The sequence below is a fragment of the Homo sapiens genome, chromosome 12 (genome assembly GCF_000001405.40).
Source record: "Homo sapiens chromosome 12, GRCh38.p14 Primary Assembly".
Taxonomy (NCBI): Eukaryota; Metazoa; Chordata; class Mammalia; order Primates; family Hominidae; genus Homo; species Homo sapiens.
In genome coordinates, this window is record NC_000012.12 from 75,328,336 (window position 1) to 75,348,052 (window position 19,717).

At 34.7% G+C, this 19,717-nt stretch overlaps 2 protein-coding genes across 35 annotated transcripts in view, besides 4 other annotated features; one reads left to right on the forward strand and one right to left on the reverse strand.

The window, feature by feature from the left end:
• Positions 1 to 19,717, reverse strand: part of CAPS2 (calcyphosine 2) — a 114,923-nt gene that overhangs the window by 52,357 nt on the left and 42,849 nt on the right. For 4 of the 32 annotated variants that reach the window (XR_944789.2, XM_011538887.3, NM_032606.5 and 1 more), the window contains exon 1: positions 1,497 to 1,989. The exons of 19 other annotated variants lie outside the window; for them this stretch is intronic. Coding sequence is in view for 7 of the 13 variants with exons in the window: in XM_011538887.3 (XP_011537189.1) it covers positions 1,497 to 1,524 (28 nt within the window). In the remaining 6 variants the exon portion in view is untranslated. Of the gene's footprint in view, positions 1 to 1,496; positions 6,400 to 6,704; positions 6,847 to 12,728; positions 12,784 to 17,153; positions 17,343 to 19,717 lie in introns of those variants that run through there. 9 more of the 32 variants (NM_001286547.3, NM_001355024.4, XM_011538878.2 and 6 more) reach the window with 6 other exon arrangements.
• Positions 1,896 to 1,945: an enhancer, noted in NCBI's record as "active region_6667". NCBI's record gives its function as "activates an Ori minimal core promoter by ATAC-STARR-seq in GM12878 lymphoblastoid cells {active_cell/tissue: GM12878}" and the evidence as "EXISTENCE:reporter gene assay evidence [ECO:0000049][PMID:35858748]".
• Positions 6,072 to 6,181: a silencer, noted in NCBI's record as "silent region_4661". NCBI's record gives its function as "represses an Ori minimal core promoter by ATAC-STARR-seq in GM12878 lymphoblastoid cells {active_cell/tissue: GM12878}" and the evidence as "EXISTENCE:reporter gene assay evidence [ECO:0000049][PMID:35858748]".
• GLIPR1L1 (GLIPR1 like 1) overlaps positions 6,335 to 19,717 on the forward strand; it is a 35,891-nt gene continuing 22,508 nt past the window's right edge. For all 3 annotated transcript variants that reach the window (NM_001304964.2, NM_152779.4, XM_011538134.4), the window contains exons 1-3: positions 6,335 to 6,567; positions 15,358 to 15,603; positions 19,287 to 19,387. In NM_001304964.2, coding sequence (NP_001291893.1) covers positions 6,394 to 6,567; positions 15,358 to 15,603; positions 19,287 to 19,387 — 521 coding nt within the window. In that variant the 5' untranslated portion in view covers positions 6,335 to 6,393. The remainder of the gene's footprint in view (positions 6,568 to 15,357; positions 15,604 to 19,286; positions 19,388 to 19,717) is intronic.
• Positions 12,880 to 13,381: an enhancer, noted in NCBI's record as "H3K27ac hESC enhancer chr12:75734995-75735496 (GRCh37/hg19 assembly coordinates)". NCBI's record gives its function as "activates a minimal SCP1, AML or CMV promoter by ChIP-STARR-seq in naive H9 embryonic stem cells {active_cell/tissue: H9 hESC(naive)}" and the evidence as "EXISTENCE:reporter gene assay evidence [ECO:0000049][PMID:30033119]".
• Positions 13,382 to 13,881: an enhancer, noted in NCBI's record as "H3K27ac hESC enhancer chr12:75735497-75735996 (GRCh37/hg19 assembly coordinates)". NCBI's record gives its function as "activates a minimal SCP1, AML or CMV promoter by ChIP-STARR-seq in naive H9 embryonic stem cells {active_cell/tissue: H9 hESC(naive)}" and the evidence as "EXISTENCE:reporter gene assay evidence [ECO:0000049][PMID:30033119]".

The following is a 19,717-nucleotide window of genomic DNA, read 5'->3' on the forward strand; positions in this document are numbered from 1 at the left end:
GCTATTTCAAATCACTATAGGTCATTTCAAATCAGTATAATTTATTTGCAAATTTAAAAAGCGGCAACATGTAAATCCTCAAATGTCCAGGTCCTCCCAGTTCCTGTACTTCCCCAGTCAGGACAGTCTTCACTCTTCACTGTCATTAGATTTTCTTTCCCCTAATAAACAGTCAAGACCAAGAAGGTTGGCGTCTCCCACCCTTAACAAAGCATGGGTAGTAAATATTTTGTTAATAAGTAAATTAATGTATAGCAAAATACATGTATACATTTTACACATATTCTTAGATTCCTTTCTCTGCATCTAACTGTAACATAATCACAATGCCAACATACAAATTCTGTCTTCAATTAGATAAGATGTTTAAAGCATTGCATTATAGCTATTAGTCTTTAATGCTAGACTGTAAGCCTCATATTTGCTCACCCTATGTCTCAGGATTTAGAAAGCCCACAATGTAGTAGGAACTTAACAAATGTTTGTTAAATAAGTGAAGTCAGTCAATTCGGAATGACAAAACACAAAAGTGGTTAACTTAGATATAGTAAGAGTATTCAAAGGGCAATGCCGTCATACATGGAACACTTTCGGATCTATGGAATTAGAGCAGTCAGGCAACTGACACCCTATGTAGATAATTTTAAGATTTTGACAGGGCTTCAAAGACAAAAACAGCTCAACCTTCTGATCTTCAAACCGAGCCAGCTGAGATCCAGAAAAGTGAACTGTACTTCGCTAAATGTTTGCCAGTTATTGCAGACCCGAATTCACACGTGGGTTTCAGATCTCTTTTCAGTACTACATCCTCACTGGTAAAGGTAATAGAAGAATTCGAGGGGAATGAGCTGTAGGGACTAAAAAATTAGAAACCTAAACTTGGTGGCACAAGAATCAGCAAACAACTGGCTGTGAGTGAATCTTTGAAACCTATGCCAAGGGTTGTCTTTGTCATTAAGCACTGAATATCCAGCTGGGCTATGTTGGAGATAGGGAGTAGCAAAAGGAAGGGAAAGCACTTCTAAATGGCTTCTGTCCCCACTTAAATGGCTGCATGTCATGAGATGATATTGCTAGCATATAATAAATACTGTTGGCTAATGTCTTTAGTGCTACCAAAAATAACTGAACACACTTCCCATTTCCCTCATTTTTTTTTAAGGATGACTATTTCCACTTCCAATTATTATCACTTCTCTCGGTAGTAATATTACTGGCTATTATGTTACTTATATCAAATCAGAAAAAAATGAAAAGCAAAAAATAAACTGATTTAATTCAGCCCATAAATAAGAAAAAAAGAAAGAGATGTAAATACAATTTAGTATTTAAGCTACATGAAGGTAGGGACCAAGTCTATGTTGATCCCAGACGACTACAGACCCAGATATCTGAATTGAAACTTAGGTCATTCCTAATTTCAAGCAAAACAGGGTAATATCTCCTTTCACCCCATCACTCCCCCTGCTCCCAAATTATATTATAATTCAGAGCACCTGCAGTGTAGCAGAAGGAATTCCCCATCCCCTACCTAACTGGGATTCCTGGACAGGACAGGCGAGGGGCACAAGAGACAGTCAGCCTGATTTCACCTAACAAGCTCGGTAAGAAGAGGTCCAGAGTTAGAAGAGTTGGAAAAGGTATAAACTAGCGCGATTCCTCCAAAAACCGCATTCAGAAAGCTTTAGACAGGACAGTCTAGACAGTCCAGGCCCGCGTCTGCAGGTTGCCCGGCAACAGGCGCCGCAGCGCAGGGCTTCTGATTACACTCTGACCTCCAGGGACGAAAAGGTCGTCGGCCCAAGTCCCTTGTTCGTTCTACGCCACCTCCCGCCCCCGCCAATCTGCCTCCTCAGTTCCGCTGCCTGGCTGACCGGAACTGAGCTTGTGGCCGGAGACCCCGCCACGCTCTCAGAAGTACTTGCTGGCTGGAAAACCCAAAGGGGTGAAACCTCAGCTACAGCCGCCGCAGCCTCCCAGGGAACCGGCTCCGCGGCGCCCCTAAACCCCGGCGAGGAGCCGGAGCGGACTCACTCACCCGCGCTTCTCCTGAGCAGGGAAAGGGCCAAAGCCCGGCCCGGATCCACGGCGGTTGTTGTGTAATTCTTTGTCTAATTGAATTCTGTTTAACATATTTCATAAGGCACCTGTCTGTGCACAGAGCCCAGAATGACGTTTTGAGGAGAAGAAATTTAAGCATATGCTACAATATCTGCTCTCAAGGAGCTTGCACTTATTTTTTTTAAAGACTGTAATATATTATATAGAGATACATAGATATTAGACATGGATATTACTTTAAATTTGTGTGACTATGTACATATAGATGATTACATGAATAATTGCATATATATGTATGTGTATTTGTGTGTGTATATATAATTAAAATTTAAAATGATGTGTGGAAAGGGCAAAGGCCTAGAAATCAAGAAACCTGCATTTTATTCTTTGCCTTTTTTTTTTTTTGAGACGGAGTTTCCTTCTTGTTGCCCAGGCTGGAGTGCAATGGCACAATCTCGACTCACTGCAACCTCTGCCTCCCAGGTTCAAGCGATTCTCCTGCCCCAGCCTCCCAAGTAGTTGGGATTACATGCGCCCACCACCACGCCCGGTTAATATTTTGTATCTTTATATAGAGGGGGTTTCACCATGTTGGGCAGGCTGGTCTCGAACTCCTGACCTCAGGTGATACCCTGCCTCAGACTCCCAGAGTGCTGTGATTTACAGGCATGAGCCACCATGCCCGGCCTAAATATTTTTATGTATGCTCTGTACACAATATCTTGGCATCAACTCCTCATCTATAAAGGGAAAAAGCTGGTTTGAGATAATTCCAAGGATCCACTCCACTCTAATATGCACTAACTTTCCTAAATTACACAGCCAAGAGTCAGATATTCAAATTAGAAGTAAGAGTTTATGAAAGTTAATCCAGTTCTTTCATAATCATGTTTTTCTAATCTGCAGTAACTTTTCAAAATTAGCTCCCCTCAGAATGTATGTATCAAAACGTGAATATTTCCAGTATTTCCTGGTGCAAATTTGGGAGTAAAAATACAAATAAATTTTTAAAGTATAAAAATAGTGAAGGAAATGAGGTATAATGTAATCACTCTGTATTTTTCTGCTGCACTCCATAAAATTCATCTATCCATTACCCCCACATAGAAAGAAAAGCAAAAATAAATAGCAGAAAACACACATAAAAATAAAACAGAAAGCTAAATTTAACTTTTTTTTTTTTTTGAGACGGAGTCTCGCTCTGTCGCCCAGGCTGGAGTGCAGTGGCGGGATCTCGGCTCACTGCAAGCTCCGCCTCCCGGGTTCACGCCATTCTCCTGCCTCAGCCTCCCAAGTAGCTGGGACTACAGGCGCCCGCCACTACGCCCGGCTAATTTTTTGTATTTTTAGTAGAGACAGGGTTTCACCGTTTTAGCCGGGATGGTCTCGATCTCCTGACCTCGTGATCCGCCCCCCTCGGCCTCCCAAAGTGCTGGGATTACAGGCGTGAGCCACCGCGCCCGGCCTAAATTTAACTTTTAAAAAGTTATAAAAGAACTTAAAAATTCTGGTGCACCAACTAACCTTGGCCATTCCAGAAATAGATGTTCAAGAAAATAACATTAGGACATGCACTTGTTGATTCCTGGCAATTAGACTTTTTACACCTAAATTGTTTTAGTATTTCTGAATATAGCTGTCTAAGCCATTGGGAACATGATCTAAAAAACATAATGTATACAATTCAGACATTTTATTAAAAACGTCTCTTAGAAGAGCAATAATCTTGGATTATGTTTGACTATATATACTCTACTTTTGCCAATCTTTAAATTCATTACTCTATGAAATTTCTGTTGTTGTTACAGGCAGTTAATTTCTCTATACACTAAATGAAACTAAATTAGCTATCTGTTAACCTTTATCCCTATTAACCTTATCCCTATCAACCTTTACTGTTTTGCAGTTCCAAAAGAGTTTGCATTTGAAGCTCAACTTTAAATTTTCATTTACTTGATCATTCATTAATGCAGCCAACATTCACTGAGTACCTACTACTTGAAAATATTTTACTTTATCTTTGTATTTATTTGTTCATTCAGCCACTTATGTATTTGACAAACATCCACTGAACACCTTCTATCTTCAAATATACCCAGTGTTAGAAAAAGTGAAATATATAAGCTTACCCAGCATTTCCTTTTATGTGATTAAGTCAAAAATATTTATTGAGCCCCTCATATGTATATATACATATATATAACAATTAAAATATAGTTTCTGCTCTCAAGAAGCTTACAGTTGTATACAACATTATTAGAAAGTTAAAGAGAACTCATTTATTTATTCGACCAATTTTTATTGAGAGCCTAAAGATTCAGTTCCTGTTCAAGGTGCTAGAGATGTAGCAATGAAGAAAACAAAGCTACTGTTGTGGTGAAGGCTACAATCTGATAGAGAAGGCAGATGTTAAAAAAATAAATAACATAAATTCAGGAGGTAATTAATGCAATGAAGAAAAATAAAACAGGTTAAATGGATAGGCACTGACAGACAGGGGATATAGAATGATCAGGGAAGACTTCACTGAAGGGAACTCTATAAAGAGCACTGCAGGCAAAAGTAACAGCAAGTGCAAAGATGCTGAGGAGAGAGCATCCTTATCAAGCTGATGGATGTGGCTGATGCAGAATAAGCCAGGAGAGAATGCCAGAGAACTAGCCATGGTCAGATTATGTAGTGTCTTTTGGGCCATACCTAGGACTTCAGATTTTTTATTGTAGCCCCCCACTGTAATGTGAGCCAATTCCTTAAAAGTTCTCTTTCTCTTTGTATACAAACATATGTATATGTATATATGCCTATAGACATCTGTATCTCTCTCTGTGTAGATGTATATATGTCTATAGGCAGACACACACACATATATGTGTATACAAACAGATTTATACATAGAGAGAACTTTACATATATAAATGTATGTGTGTATATGTATGTGTGTATATGCCTATAGATATCTTTATATCCAGGAAGAGACATATATATATAGACACATGTAGATGTATATAACTGTATTGATTTATCTATCTGTATACCTACACACACACATATACACACACACACACACGTATATATGTTCATGTCTTTGGGTGTGGGATATCAGAAGCTCAGTTTGGACTATGTATGTGATATGAAAGTAGTATATACAGCAATTCTCCATTAGCTGGTAGTAGACTAGAAATATATTATCTATTGCCCAGTAGAATTTCCATTAGGATCCTTGCATTTTTCGTTTTCTTATAATCTAATTTTCTGCTTTTTATTTTTAAAAAGATAGTAGCTGCATCAAAGTAGTTTGTTTTGGTTTTTGTTTTTTGTGTCAAGGTTGACTATGGCGGATCATTCAGCAGATGTAAGTACGTGTTCACTTGAATTAAACAGCATTGTAAACAACTTCAAATTACTAAGTAAAGGTATTTATTTGAAACATAGAAATACTAAAAAAAATTAATGTCATGGGGAAAAATGCTGGTTTATTACAGAATATCAATATAACTGATGTAATGAATTTAAAACATTAAGCCAAATGACGTTGATTTATATTGCATTGCAGGTAAAATAGACAATCAAATGTACTCTGTCCATCCCAGTCTCAGTGTATCAATTAAAGCAACTCTTGGAGTCTACCAGTCACCATACAGTGGCTCTGTTCCAAACTATCAAAAAGGGAAGATTTTGTCAAGAGGAACTACTTGGCTACATTTTCCAAGCATCTATTGTTATCTATCTAAGCATTCGGTCTCTTCAGACGAAAAAACAGAAGGAAATTATTAAATGTTTGACAAGTTGATAATTTAGGATCACTGTATGTCACTGTATAAGAATTGCCTATTCTTACTCTATTCCCAATCTCTGAGGGAAGTGGCAATATGATTCTAGATTATTTAGAACAATAAAAATCTATACACGGAAGCTGCGTCTAAGAAACGAATATATAGTGCTTTGCACTCGACTGGCCCATTGTCAGCATCCCGCACTTGTTCTTTACCTAACTTGTGTGGCTTGCATATTGCAATCTGTATTACAATCCAGACGCGCTCTGCAGATTACAGATTGGATCCACAGAAAGCAGTTTGGATGGTTGAAATTCCCTCCACCAGAGGGCGACTCAGAGCTTTCCCCTGTAGCTCAGAGCTTTGTGGAAGGGGAACCCTGCTGCCTGTTCTTCCCCACAGCGACACTGACAAGTTGATCCAGCCGCGCTGGGCTCGAGCCTGTGCGGCAGGATGGAGCCAAGGGAGAGCGTGGTGCGGGGGCGTGGGGAAATCGGGTTGCCCCAGCCGTTACTGGTCCGCGCAGTCAGGGCATCCTCCGCATCCTCCACATCCTTCCATGGCTCTGAAGAATAAATTCAGTTGTTTATGGATCTTGGGTCTGTGTTTGGTAGCCACTACATCTTCCAAAATCCCATCCATCACTGACCCACACTTTATAGACAACTGCATAGAAGCCCACAACGAATGGCGTGGCAAAGTCAACCCTCCCGCGGCCGACATGAAATACATGGTGAGAAAGAACCAGGGCTGGGCTCTTAAATCCCTGACTCATCCTGAGGTATCTGGGTGATAAATTTCACGGACTTAACTTGTACTAATTCAATCCGGACTTTACATATATGCAGTTAAAAAGAAAAAAATTCACACCTTGGTTGGGCTGTCTCCTCCAGAGTCATAGGAGTGAACAAGAAAGGAAGACTTGAAGCTGTTCCTTGCCTCTTGCGGGGAAGGTGGGGATGCTGGAGCAGTGTTTGGAAGTTGCTTTGTTGCACCACTAAAGTTATAAGTACTGAACACAGGATTATTTTGTTTTCTTTCTTCCATTTTTTAGCTAGCAATTTCCACCCCCCACAACCAAGATACAAGATACCAAAGAAATAGCCCAGGAATGGAGATTCTCTTGTTCTCTTACTTATTTTTATATCATATGAATCCAAGATCAAAACAACACTTCATGTGTAGTATTATTTGAAAAAAATACAGTACTCTATTGAAGAATAAGCATAAAAAGCATTGGATTATTAAATAATCCATAGAATTTACAAAATTTTAAATACTTGACTATGAATTGTATGATTGGAAATTTCCCTTGCATTGTAACTTTTTCTTGTTTATAAATGCATCACTATGAGCATAAACGTTGATAGTATTAGTCTATTTTATGTGCTATGCAGATGTAGATACAGTATAACTCATATCTATTCCAGCTTTCTTCTTTTCTATCCAGTGGAAAACAAAAGTAATTATAAAATCACAACTCAGGCATTAAAATAAGTTCAAAACTGTACTAGTCTACTGTATAAGAAAATTATATTTTGATGGAGAAAGATTCAAATATGTATCAGAAATGAAACAAGAATAAACTAATCTCTTTAATGCAGAATTGTTAAGATATTTTAATATATAATGTTTACCAGCTTGGGGTTGTCCAAGGCATAAATTAACTAGAAATAAATCTTCAACGGAATTCAGAAATACTAATATTAGTATTAATATGGTTGATGCCTTTAGAGTTTTATTGTAAATGTATGATAAAAAAGAGTAAATGTGGGGTTAAATATAATAAATGTTCTTTATATTTCTTTTGTACTCATTGACTATTTAAAGCAAAATATGATAACAATGAATTGTGGAGTTTATAATAATGTAGAAACTAAACACATTATAACCAATGCATAAAAAATGAAGTGAAGTGTCAATAGAATTATTCTGCTGAAAGTTCCTTATATTGTTAAGAATCACAATAATATTTCTGGATGGACCGTGAGAAGTTAAGAATGCATATTTTAATATCTAGGATAACCATTAAAAATATACAAAGAAGTAGAGCTAAAAATCCAGTAAGTAGAATACTAAAGTCCTTGATTAATTTTTGGAAAACAGGAACAAGGAACAAAAGAACAAAGAGGGAATCATTTAAAAATAGCAAATGGTAGACTAAAACTTAACCATGTTAAAATTACATTAAATGCAAATGACTACTACATACTTTAATTAAAAATAAAGATTATCAGATTGGATTAATGCTTTTGTAACAGAAACATATCACAAATAGATTAAAGTAAAAAGATGGAAAAAATACATTATGCAAACTCTAAAATTAAGATAGAATAGCTATATTTATGGCTACTGAAGTAGATTTTAAGACAAGGAGAACTACCAGAAATAAAAGGGGACATTTAGGAAAATAAAAGGGCTAATTCAACAAAAGACACAGCAATCTTCAATACAAATAAATGTAATAATATATTTTAATACACAAAAATTGGCAAAAGTAAAGGGAGAAAGAGACAAAACAGTCATAGAGATTTTAATCTTAGTGAGTAAGAGAACAAGTAGGTAAAAATCAGTAAAAATAAAAAAGATTTGAACATCAAACAATTTTACCTAATTGACATTAAACAATTTATACCACACTGCAAAATACAAATTTTTATCAAGTATTCATTACATTCATCAATATAAACAATATGCTGAACCATAAAACAAGTCTCAATAAATTAACAGTATTTGAAATTTTGTCCTATATCTTCTGAAAAAAAAGTCTTAAACCAGAAATAAAGTGTGCAAAATCTCCCAAAATGTGAAATCAAGCAGCACATATCTAAATGGTCCATAAGTTAAAGAATAAATAATAATAGAGATTACTATAATTTAGATTTGAATGTTAATGGAAACACAGCATATCAAAATTTGTGGGATATAGCAAAAGAAGTGTTTGGAAGCATACGTATAGATTTAAATGAATATTTTAGGAAAGAAGAATGGTTAAAAATCAAGACCTATTCTTTCAACTCAAGAAGGTAGGAAACAAGTTTAAATTAAGCACAAGAAAATTTTTAAAAAACTAAAGATGATCATAATTTGATGAAATTGAAAGTAAAAGTATGAGGACTAAAATCAATAATATCAAAAGTTGGTTTAAAACTATATATTAATAAAATTGATAAACCAGTAGTAAAAAAAAGATTAATGAAGAAAGACACAACTCAAAAATCAATTTTAGGAATGGAAAATCACTTTTAAAAAACTCCACACATTAAATGGATAGATAGAGAATATTTTGAACAAATTTATACTAATAAATTTTACAACATAAAGAAAATAAATGGACAAATGTCTTGAAAATCAGCATTTTATAAAATTGACACAATATTTTGATATGTTGTTTATTGAATGATTACTAGTGAATAAGTGCATAAAATGCACTAGTTTTAATGTACAATTTTTTTTACATATGTATACGTCAGTGAAACTACCTACCTCAAGATTGGAATTTTTATTTCATATATGCGTGCCATGTTATTTATCACATAAAGTCTCATAAATATTACATTCCGTACTATGTGTCTTATAAAGTAACATTAAATCCTTGAACTTTGCCTAATAAAAGTATTGCTTATTTTTTTATTTCTTTGATTTCTATTATTATTTTTCGACTATTGTCTTCTTTGTCTTGTACAAATGAAAGAATCCGGGGTTAGAGATTGACTTTGAACCCAATATAAATCTTTTAACAGGGATATTTAACCAATGTATGAATGAGATCATTCATCTGCATCTTCATCAATCTAAATAGTCTTATGCCATTACATAAATTAAATACGTAATTTAAAATATTCTTAACAGAAAATTCAGGTGAATTCTAAGAGAAAAGCAACACCAATCTTATACAAATCTCTTTGTGAAACTGAAAGAGAAAACCTTTTGGAACTTTATGAGTCAACTTTTACCCTGACACCAAACCAGAAAAAACATTACAGGTTAGAAAATTATAGCTCAATATAGATGCAAAAAATCTTCAACAAAATTATAATCAATTGAATCCAGCAACACATATAAAGAATATTATATCATGGGATTTATCTCAGGAATAAAAAGTTGAATTAGGACTTGAAAATTAATCAACATAATCAGGAACAAAACTGGAAACACCATTAACAGAAAACTCCCCAGAAAATGAAAAATCTGTGAGAAATCTGACTTGGATTGGGGGAATTTAATTGCTGTTTACAGTCTGCCACTCTTCATAGATTCAATGAGAAAAATTATATGATCATCTCAATAGAGTCATGAAAACCATTTGGTAAAACTCTGCATCAATTCCTTTTATTTCATTTTTTTTCCATTTTTTCCTGTAGGTTTTTTTAATAATAGTTTTGGGGAAACAGGTGATGTTTGGTTGCATGGAAAAGTTATTTTTTTTTTCAGTTTTTAAGTTCTGGGGTACATGTGCAGGATGTGCAGGTTTGTTACACAGGTGAACATATGCCATGGTGGTTTGCTGCACAGATCAACCAATCACCCACGTATTAAGCCCAGCATCTATTAGCTATTCTTCCTGAAGCTCTCTCTCCTCCCACCGCCTTCTGCCTACAGGCCCCAATGTGTGTTGATCCCCCCATGTGTCCATGTGTTCTCATTGTTCAGCTCCCACTTATAAGTGAGAACATGTGGTGTTTGGTTTTCTGTTCCTGCATTAGTTTGCTGAGGATAATAGCTTCCAGCTCCATCCATGTCCCTGCAAAGGACTTGATCTCATTCCTTTTTATGGCTGCATAGTATTCCATGGTGTGTCTGTAGCACATATTTTCTTTATCCATTCTATCACTGATGGGCATTTGGGTTGATTCTATGTCTTTGCTATTGTGAATAGTGTGCAGTGAATATACATGTGCATGTATGCTTATAATAGAATGATCTATATTCCTTTGGGTACATACCCAGTAATGGGATTGCTGGGTCAAATGGTATTTCTGACTCTAGATCTTTGAGGAATTGCCACACTGTCCTCCACAATGGGTAAACTAATTTACACTCCCACCAACAATGTAAAAATGTTCCTTTTTTTCCCGCAACACTGCCAGCACCTGTTTCTGGACTTTTTAATAATTGCCATTCTGAGTGGCCTAAGATGGTATCCAATTGTGGTTTTGATTGCATTTTTCTAATGCTAACTGATGTTGAGCTTTTTTTCATTTGTTTTTTTGGCCATATGTATGTCTTCTTTTGAGAAGTGTCTGTTCATGTCCTTTGGCCACTTTTTAATGGGGTTGTTCTTTAAATTTATTTAATCTCCTTATAGACTCTGGATATTAGACCTTGGTCAGATGGATAGATTGCTAAAATTTTCTACCATTCTGTAGGTTGTCTGTTCACTCTGATGATACTTTCTTTTGCCGTACAGAAGCTCTTTAATTAGATACCATTTGTCCATTTTTGTTTTTGTTGCAATTGCTTTTGATGTTTTCATCATGAAATATTTGCCCGTGCCTATGTCCTGAATGGTATTGCCTAGATTTTTCTTCTAGGGTTTTTATGATTTTGGGTTTTACATTTAAGTCTTTAATCCATCTTGAGCTAATTTTTGGATAAGGTGTAAGGAAGGGGTCCAGTTTCAATTTTCTGCATATGGCTAGCCAGTTCTCCCAGCGGAAAAGTTATTTACTGGTGATTTCTGAGATTTTGGTGCACCCATCGCCCAAGCAGTGCCCAATGTGTAGTCTTTTATCCCTCACCCCACTCCCACTCTTCCCCATGAGTCCCCAAAGTCCATCATTCTTATGTCCTCATAGCTTAGCTCCCACTTAGAAGTGAGAACATACAATGTTTCATTTTCCATTCCTGAGTTACTTCAATTAGAATAATGGTCTCCAACTCCATCCAGGTTGCTGCAAATGCCATTATTTTGTTCCTTTTTATGGCTGAGTCGTATTCCATTATATGTATATATTTTATACACACATATATATAAAATATATATGTATAAATATATATATACATACCACATTTTCTTTATTAACTTATTGGTTGATGGGCATTTAGACCGTTTCCATATTTTTAGAACTGCAAATTGTGCTGCTATAAACATGTGTGTGCTAGTGTCTTTTTCAAAAAACGACGTATTTTCCTCTGCGTAGATTTTTGACAAAGATGCAAAAGTAATTCAGGGGAGCAAGGATAGTCTATTCAAGAAATGGTGTTGAAACACCATTTAATGCCTATAAGAAAAGAAAAAACTTTGACCTAAAGAGCAAAAATTAACCCAAAATGAATCATAAATTTAAATAAAACTATTAGAAGAAAAACAGGAGAAAATCCTCAGGACAGGGCTAGATGAAACTTCCTCATATAATGAATTATTTTGATTTTTATCAAGACCGAAAACTATTTTTAAAAAGTCAACAAATTTGACCTCATCAAAATAAGAAACTTCTACTTTCTAAAGTACCCTGTTAGGAAGATGAGAGGACAAACTACAAACTAGGAGAAAATATATTCAAACCATATATTTAAGAAAGAACTCCTATCTAGAGAAAGAAGTCTCAAAACTCAACAGTAAAAAAAAAAAAGAAAAAAATTCAATTAGAAAATGAACAGAAGACTGACATTTAGCCACAGAGATATACAGATGGAAAATAAGCACATGAAAACATGCTAAACATCATTAGCCATTAGTGAAATGCAAATTAAAACCACAAGGACATATCACGACACACCAATTAGGAAAGCAAAAATAAAAAATAATGACAATACCAAATACTGGTGAAGATATGGAGAAAATTGATCAGTCTTACTTTTCTGGTGGGAATGCAAAATGGTATAGCCACTCTAGGAAATAGTTTGGCAATTTCTTACAAAAAAAAAAAGAACACCTAAACATACACTTACATATGACTTAGACTTGCAATTGCACTTCTGGGCACTTTTTCCTTTTTCTTTTTTCCTAGAAAAAGGAAAACATTGCTACATAAAAACCTGCTCACAAATATTTATGGATACTCCCGATTCAATGCTCTTGAGAAACAGGAGTTTAGTGACTCTATACATGTTTGTAATAGCTCAAACTTGTAAACATCCAAATTTCCATCAATAGATGAAAGTTAAACTGTGGTACATCTATACCATGGAATATGACTTGGTCACTAAATGGAACAAACTATCAACACATGTAACATCCCCATGGCTCTCAAAGGCATTATGCTGAGTGAAGAGAAGCCAATCTCAAAATGGATACATAGAGTAGGATTCTATTTATATAACATTCTTTTTTTCTTTTTCTTTTTTTCTTTGAAACGGAGTCTCGCTGTGTCGCCCAGGCTGGAATGCAGTGGCGCTGTCTCGGCTCACTGCAAGCTCCGCCTCCCGGGTTCACGCCATTCTCCTGCCTCAGCCTCCGGAGTAACTGAGACTACAGGCGCCCGCCACCACGCCCGCAGAATTTTTTGTATTTTTAGTGGAGACGCGGTTTCACCGTGTTAGCCAGGACGGTCACGATCTCCTGATCTCGTGATCCGCCCGCATCGGCCGCCCAAAGTGTTGGGATTAAAGGCGTGAGCCACCGCGCCCGGCCTCTTTTTTTTTTTTTTTTTTTTTTTTGAGATGGAGTCTCTGTCACCCAGACTGGAGGGCAATGGCACGGTCTTGGCTCACTGCAACCTCCGCCTCCTAGGTTCAAGCAATTCTCCTCCTCATCCTCCTGAGTAGTTGGGATTACAAGCACCGCCCCCACACCTGGCTGATTTTTGTATTTTTAGTAGCGATGGGGTTTCACCCTGTTGGCCAGGCTGGATCTCCTGACCTCAGGTGATCCACCCGCCTTGGCCTCCCAAAGTGCTGGGATTACAGGCATGAGTCACCACGCCTGGCCACCTATTTATACAACATTCTTGAAATAACAAAATTACAGAACTGAAGAACAGATTGGTGATCGCCAGGGGTTAAAGATAGTGTGGGTAGTGAGTGGTTGTGACTTAATGGGTTAGCATGAAGGATCCTTGTGGTGTTGAAACAGTGCTGTATCTAGATATTGTGGGAGTGATTACTTCAATTTATACATGTGATAAAATCACATAAACCTACACATATACAAAAATAAATGCATGTAAAACTGTTGAAATCTTTAAAAGGTCTGTAGATAATACCAATGTCAATTTCTTATTTTGATATCATACTATTGTTACAAAAAACATTACCATTGGGAAAAGTAGGTGAAGTCTACACAGGACCCCTGTGTATTATTTTTGTAACTTCTTGTGAATTTATAATTAGTTAAAAATAAAAAGATGTTTAAAAATAACCTTGGCAATTATACCTACATTAAGACTGTTGCTTTTGTGATGAGTTGTTTCTGGACTCTGTTCTGTTCCATTGAGCTATTTGTCTACCCTTGTGTCAATATGACAATATCTTAATGTAGCTTTATGATAAATATTGATATCTGGTAGAGAAAGTCTCCAGTTTTATTCTACATTTAAAAGATTGTCTGAGCTTTACTTGGAACATTGCATTTCCACATAAATTTTGTAATCAATTTCCACCCCAAAAAAGCTACTTGGAGTTTGATTAGAAATAAAATTATATGTCATAATCAATATTCTTTTGCAATACAGAATATTCTGGTCCATGAACATTTTATATCTCTCCATTTATTTAAGTCTTTTACAACTTCTTTCAGTTACGTTTTTGCAGTTTTCAGCATAGAGATCTTGTATATCACTTATTAAATTTATTTATACATATTGAATGTTTTGCAGCTATTCATTTGTAGAATATATAGATATATAATAGATTTTGCATATTTTCCTTGTATCTTTCAACTTTGATAACTTCATTTATTTTTATAGTATTGTTTATGTATTAATTTAAATTTTTATGTATCCAGTCATGTAATCTGTGAATAATGATAGATCCCAATCCTTATACATTTTATATATTTTGTCTTATGTATTTACAACTCATGTATTTTATTATACTACCTAACTTCTTGTACAATAATGAATAGAAATAACAAGGGCAGATATCTTGTTTCATTCCTAATCTTGAGGGAAAGTTTTAGTATTTCACCATTTGATAAGATTTTTGTCTGTTTGTTTGTAGATTATCTTTATCAAATTAAGGGGATTTTTTCTTTCTATTCCTAGTTTTTTGCCCTTTTTAATTATCAATGAGTATTCATCCTTTAATTGTAATAAATTAACATGACCTTCTGAATTACTAGACTTTGAATTCTGGCTTATTTTAATCACATTCCGATTTATTTGTTTAGTGACTCTAATGTACCAGGCCATCTGCTAAGTACAGGTAATATAACAATGAACTGTCATAGAGTGAGTATAAATAAGTATTTCTGAAGTAGAACTAAAAAGAAATCACTAACTATGCACATAATAAATACCAAAGAAAAACTACATCTTATTAAAATAATAAATTTAAGCAAAACTTAGTTGATTACAATAATTAGAATAATTTAATGCAAATACTTATGCACAATTCAATTTAAATTATTTTTATCTTTCAGATTTGGGATAAAGGTTTAGCAAAGATGGCTAAAGCATGGGCAAACCAGTGCAAATTTGAACATAATGACTGTTTGGATAAATCATATAAATGCTATGCAGCTTTTGAATATGTTGGAGAAAATATCTGGTTAGGTGGAATAAAGTCATTCACACCAAGACATGCCATTACGGCTTGGTATAATGAAACCCAATTTTATGATTTTGATAGTCTATCATGCTCCAGAGTCTGTGGCCATTATACACAGGTAAATATTTGACATCTTTATTGATTAGTTCTTATTTGTGCATATTTTAATTGCCAGAATTTATTTCTCTGTATGTAAAGTGCCTTTATTTTTCTGGCTGCCTTTACATTTTTTCCTTTATCATAGGTCTTGAGCAATTTAATAATAATATACCAAAGTTTTCTGTATGTTTCTTGTGCTGCAGTTCACTGGCCTTTTTGAAGTTGTAAGTCTATAACTTAAATCAAATTTAGAAGAATGTTGGCCATTGTTTCTGGAAATACTTCTTTCTCTCACTCTCTCTCTTCCCTTCCCTGGAAGTGGGAAGTTCTCTTCAAGTTACTCATGTAGAAAGCCACTTGAAGTTCTTCCCACATAAACTGATGCTCTTGTCTTTTTTCTTGGTTTTCTTCTCTCTGTGATTAATTTCAAGTAATTTTATTGCTACATCTTTAAGTTTGCTAATCTAGCCTTCTGTAATGTTTAGTCTCCTGTTAATCCCATTCAGTTTGTTTTCAATCTTGCACCTTAAAGTTTGTATCTCTACAAATTTAATATTTTTACATCTTCAATGAATATACCTAATATGTTTTCTCTTTCATCTAGCTTTTTAAGCATATGAGATAGAGTTGCAATAATTAATATTTTCCCTGCTAGCTCTAGTATCTATGTTAGCTCTGTGTTAGTTTCAATAGATTGATTTTTCTCTTCATTATGAATCGAATTTTCTTCCATCATATCATGTTGGGTAAATTTTATTATATTCGCAATTTGTACATTTTGCCTTGTTGAGTGCTGGGTTCATCTGTATACTATAAATATTCTTGAGCTGTCTTTTTGGGTACAGCTAAGTTACCTGCAATTTATTTGATCCTCTTTGTTCCTGCTTTTAAAATATGTTAGGTAGAATAAAAGTAGCGTTTAGTCCAGAGCTGATAATGATCTCTCACTACAGAGGCAAGATTCTTCTGCACACTCTAACTAATACCCTGAGAATTATGAAGTTGTCCAGTTTGGAAAGTGAGAATAGGTCCAATTTCTGGCTTTGTGTAAACCGTGGTATTATCTCCTCTAGTTCTTGTAAATGGGTCAGACTAGTTTCTTCACATACATGTTTTGATTAGTACTTTGCTGAATAGATGATGAGGACCCTCTGCACATTGTCCTAGTGTGTCACTGTACAATTCTCACCTCTTCAGTACTATGCCATCTAAACTTCTGTGTCCATGGTCTCCCCAAGACTCTCAATCAGACTCTCATAACTATGAGAGTGTATCAAACTTCTCCTGAGCCATAATCTAGAAACTGTCTCCAGGCAATAAACCAGGACAATTATACAGTTTCTATCTTTTTTTTTCTGCAAATCTCAGGGGTATTATGTTGTGTTGCCTAATGTCTTGAAAACCATTACTTCCTATAATTTTCTCAATTTTTAAAATTATTTCAGATAGAAGTGTAAGTGTGTCTAAAATTCACCTTTTGGGCCATACTTTAATCCTAGACATGGTACTGAGCCCCTAGGAAAGCCTGTTTAAGCAATATAAAGAGCTAACCTTCTTCTCTAGACTTACCCATTTGTATAAGTTGAATTAATATATAGGGTCTTAAAGCAACTTGTTCTTATCAGAGGTGCAGTGAACAAATAATAGCAACTTCCATGTTCCCTTTATGTTCACTCTTCGTTCAACAACAGGTTGTTCTAAGTCTAGACACTCTCCAGGACATCAGGAAAAATGTTGGTAAAGTATATGGTTTGGATACTAAGGGAAAATTGAGAGAATGAATCAGGTGTCAGATGTCCTGACTAACAAAAAGATGCAATATCCCTAAGATGATATCAAGGCTGAGTCATAGCTTTTATATATCCTTTGTCTTCTCTTTTGCTGTAAAGTAAAAAAACAAACAAAACAAACAAAACAAAAAAAGCTGGTTCTCAAATGCCCCTTCTCCCTTCGTATTACTAAATCAGAAAGGGGAGCTTACTCTTTATTGGCTAGTTTACACACAAGGTTAAGTAATTAGGAATGGTTATATTCTTATAAAATCAACAACTATATCTTGCTTAATGTTCTAAACAAAATAAGGGAAAATTTTCTTGCACTTATCACCTACTGATATTCATATTAGAGTTACATCCAATGTTCATATTAATATTACATCTAGTTTCTTTAATGAAAGCAATACATCGTAAACCTACATAGTGAATATTTATTCTCACGATTCCAAAAGCCCCAAAAAGTCACAATTTAGATAAAATTTAATGATGTAGTTAGTTATTCATAAGCCAAATTGTTAAACATGATTTTTTGGAAATATATATATTTTAGTTGTATTTTTGGTTAATTGTTTAAAACATTCAAAAGGAAAAATGCTCTTTTAATCATCTCACCTTATCTCATTTCATTAAGTGGGAAACTACCTCAGAATTGATCTGTCACTTACTCACCAAAACCACAAAGATGGCTGAAAGCAAAACTCTTTTTTTTTTTTTGAGACGGAGTCTCGCCCTGTAACCCAGACTGGAGTACAGTGGCGTGATCTCAACTCACTGCAACCTCCACTTCCTGAGTTCAAGCAATTCTCCTGCCTCAGCCTCCTGAGTAGCTAGGATTACAGGCACATGCCACCACGCTCAGCTAGTTTTTGTATTTTTAGTAGAAACGGGGTTTTGCCATGTTGGCCAGGCTGACCTCGAACTCCTGACCTCGCAATCTGCCCGCCTCAGCCTCCCAAATCTCGTTTTTAAGTTCTCAGTTCACTTTGATTTTTCTTGCACTTTTGCTGGTAAATATTTTTTTTGCTGGTAAAATATATTTTGCAAAACTATTGACTCTGGCTAGGACAAGGCTATAGAAAACAATTGATACATCAATTTACGAAATAGCTTAGTACATTTTGCTAATAAAGTTGTAAAATAAATGAGATCAGAAATTTGTGTTGTTAAAATTTATTCTGTGTCTAAATTCCTTGAATTATTTTTCAAATGGAGTAAACCAGTATTTTTTTCCCTTTTTTGTTTATTTGGAAAATGAAAAAATTTTATTCTATCATTGTCACAAAAACTAGTAATGTTCCTCACCTCTTTACCTATCTCCTATAACTAGTTTTCCATAGAAGTCTTCTTCCTTTTGAATAACTTTGCTATTCTTTGCAACTAGATAAAAATAAAAATTCACCATCCTTACAGCAGGCATCTTTGAAAATCAACTCAATATGTTTTTCATTCCTACCTATGTCTTGTGACTTGACAAAGGTAAGAATATGGTTAAGATTGCAAAATTTAAGATGTAATTTGTAAAATTTTTCTGAGAAAAACAAATAAATGTAAGTTATTGTTTTCATTTATAGTCTGATTTTCATATTGTTTGTATGATATTCCCAGGGATAGAATTAAAATGTATTTCATAAATAATCTAGAAGAAATTATTTTGGCTGTATATTATGAATTTGGTTATATATTATATTATCCTTTTGATTTATAAGAATTACCAGTAAGGAAAAACTAGCTTGGTAGCTCTCATAAAATCAGCCATGACAATATAAGAATTTTAATATAAATATAAACATTAGAAAAAATATGTAACTAATAAATATTTATGTACATTATTTTTTGTAGCATGACAAAGATTATACCAATTCTCTAAATGCATTGTTTGCATAGAATTGTTTTCCATATTTTATCTTGACATTCCTTTTCTTTATAGTTAGTTTGGGCCAATTCATTTTATGTCGGTTGTGCAGTTGCAATGTGTCCTAACCTTGGGGGAGCTTCAACTGCAATATTTGTATGCAACTACGGACCTGCGTGAGTTATTTTCTCTTAAAAATATTTTAATTGAAATTAATGTTGATGATGGTTGCCAAATAAGAGGACCTTATACTAGACACAAGTGTATTTTTGATAAGTAATGACTCCCTCTACAATGCTAATCAAATGAGATAGGTGAAAATAGAAGATGGTGACAGAATATTGCCTTACTTAAAGAAAAATTATACCTATTATAAGATATTTAAACTTGAGAGAGAAAATGATGGAGACTGATAGGTTTAAAAAAAGAGATAATATAAAATATGTTGCCACAGTAATATATAAATACTGAAACACAAAAAGGCTGGCAGATGCTTCTCTAATATA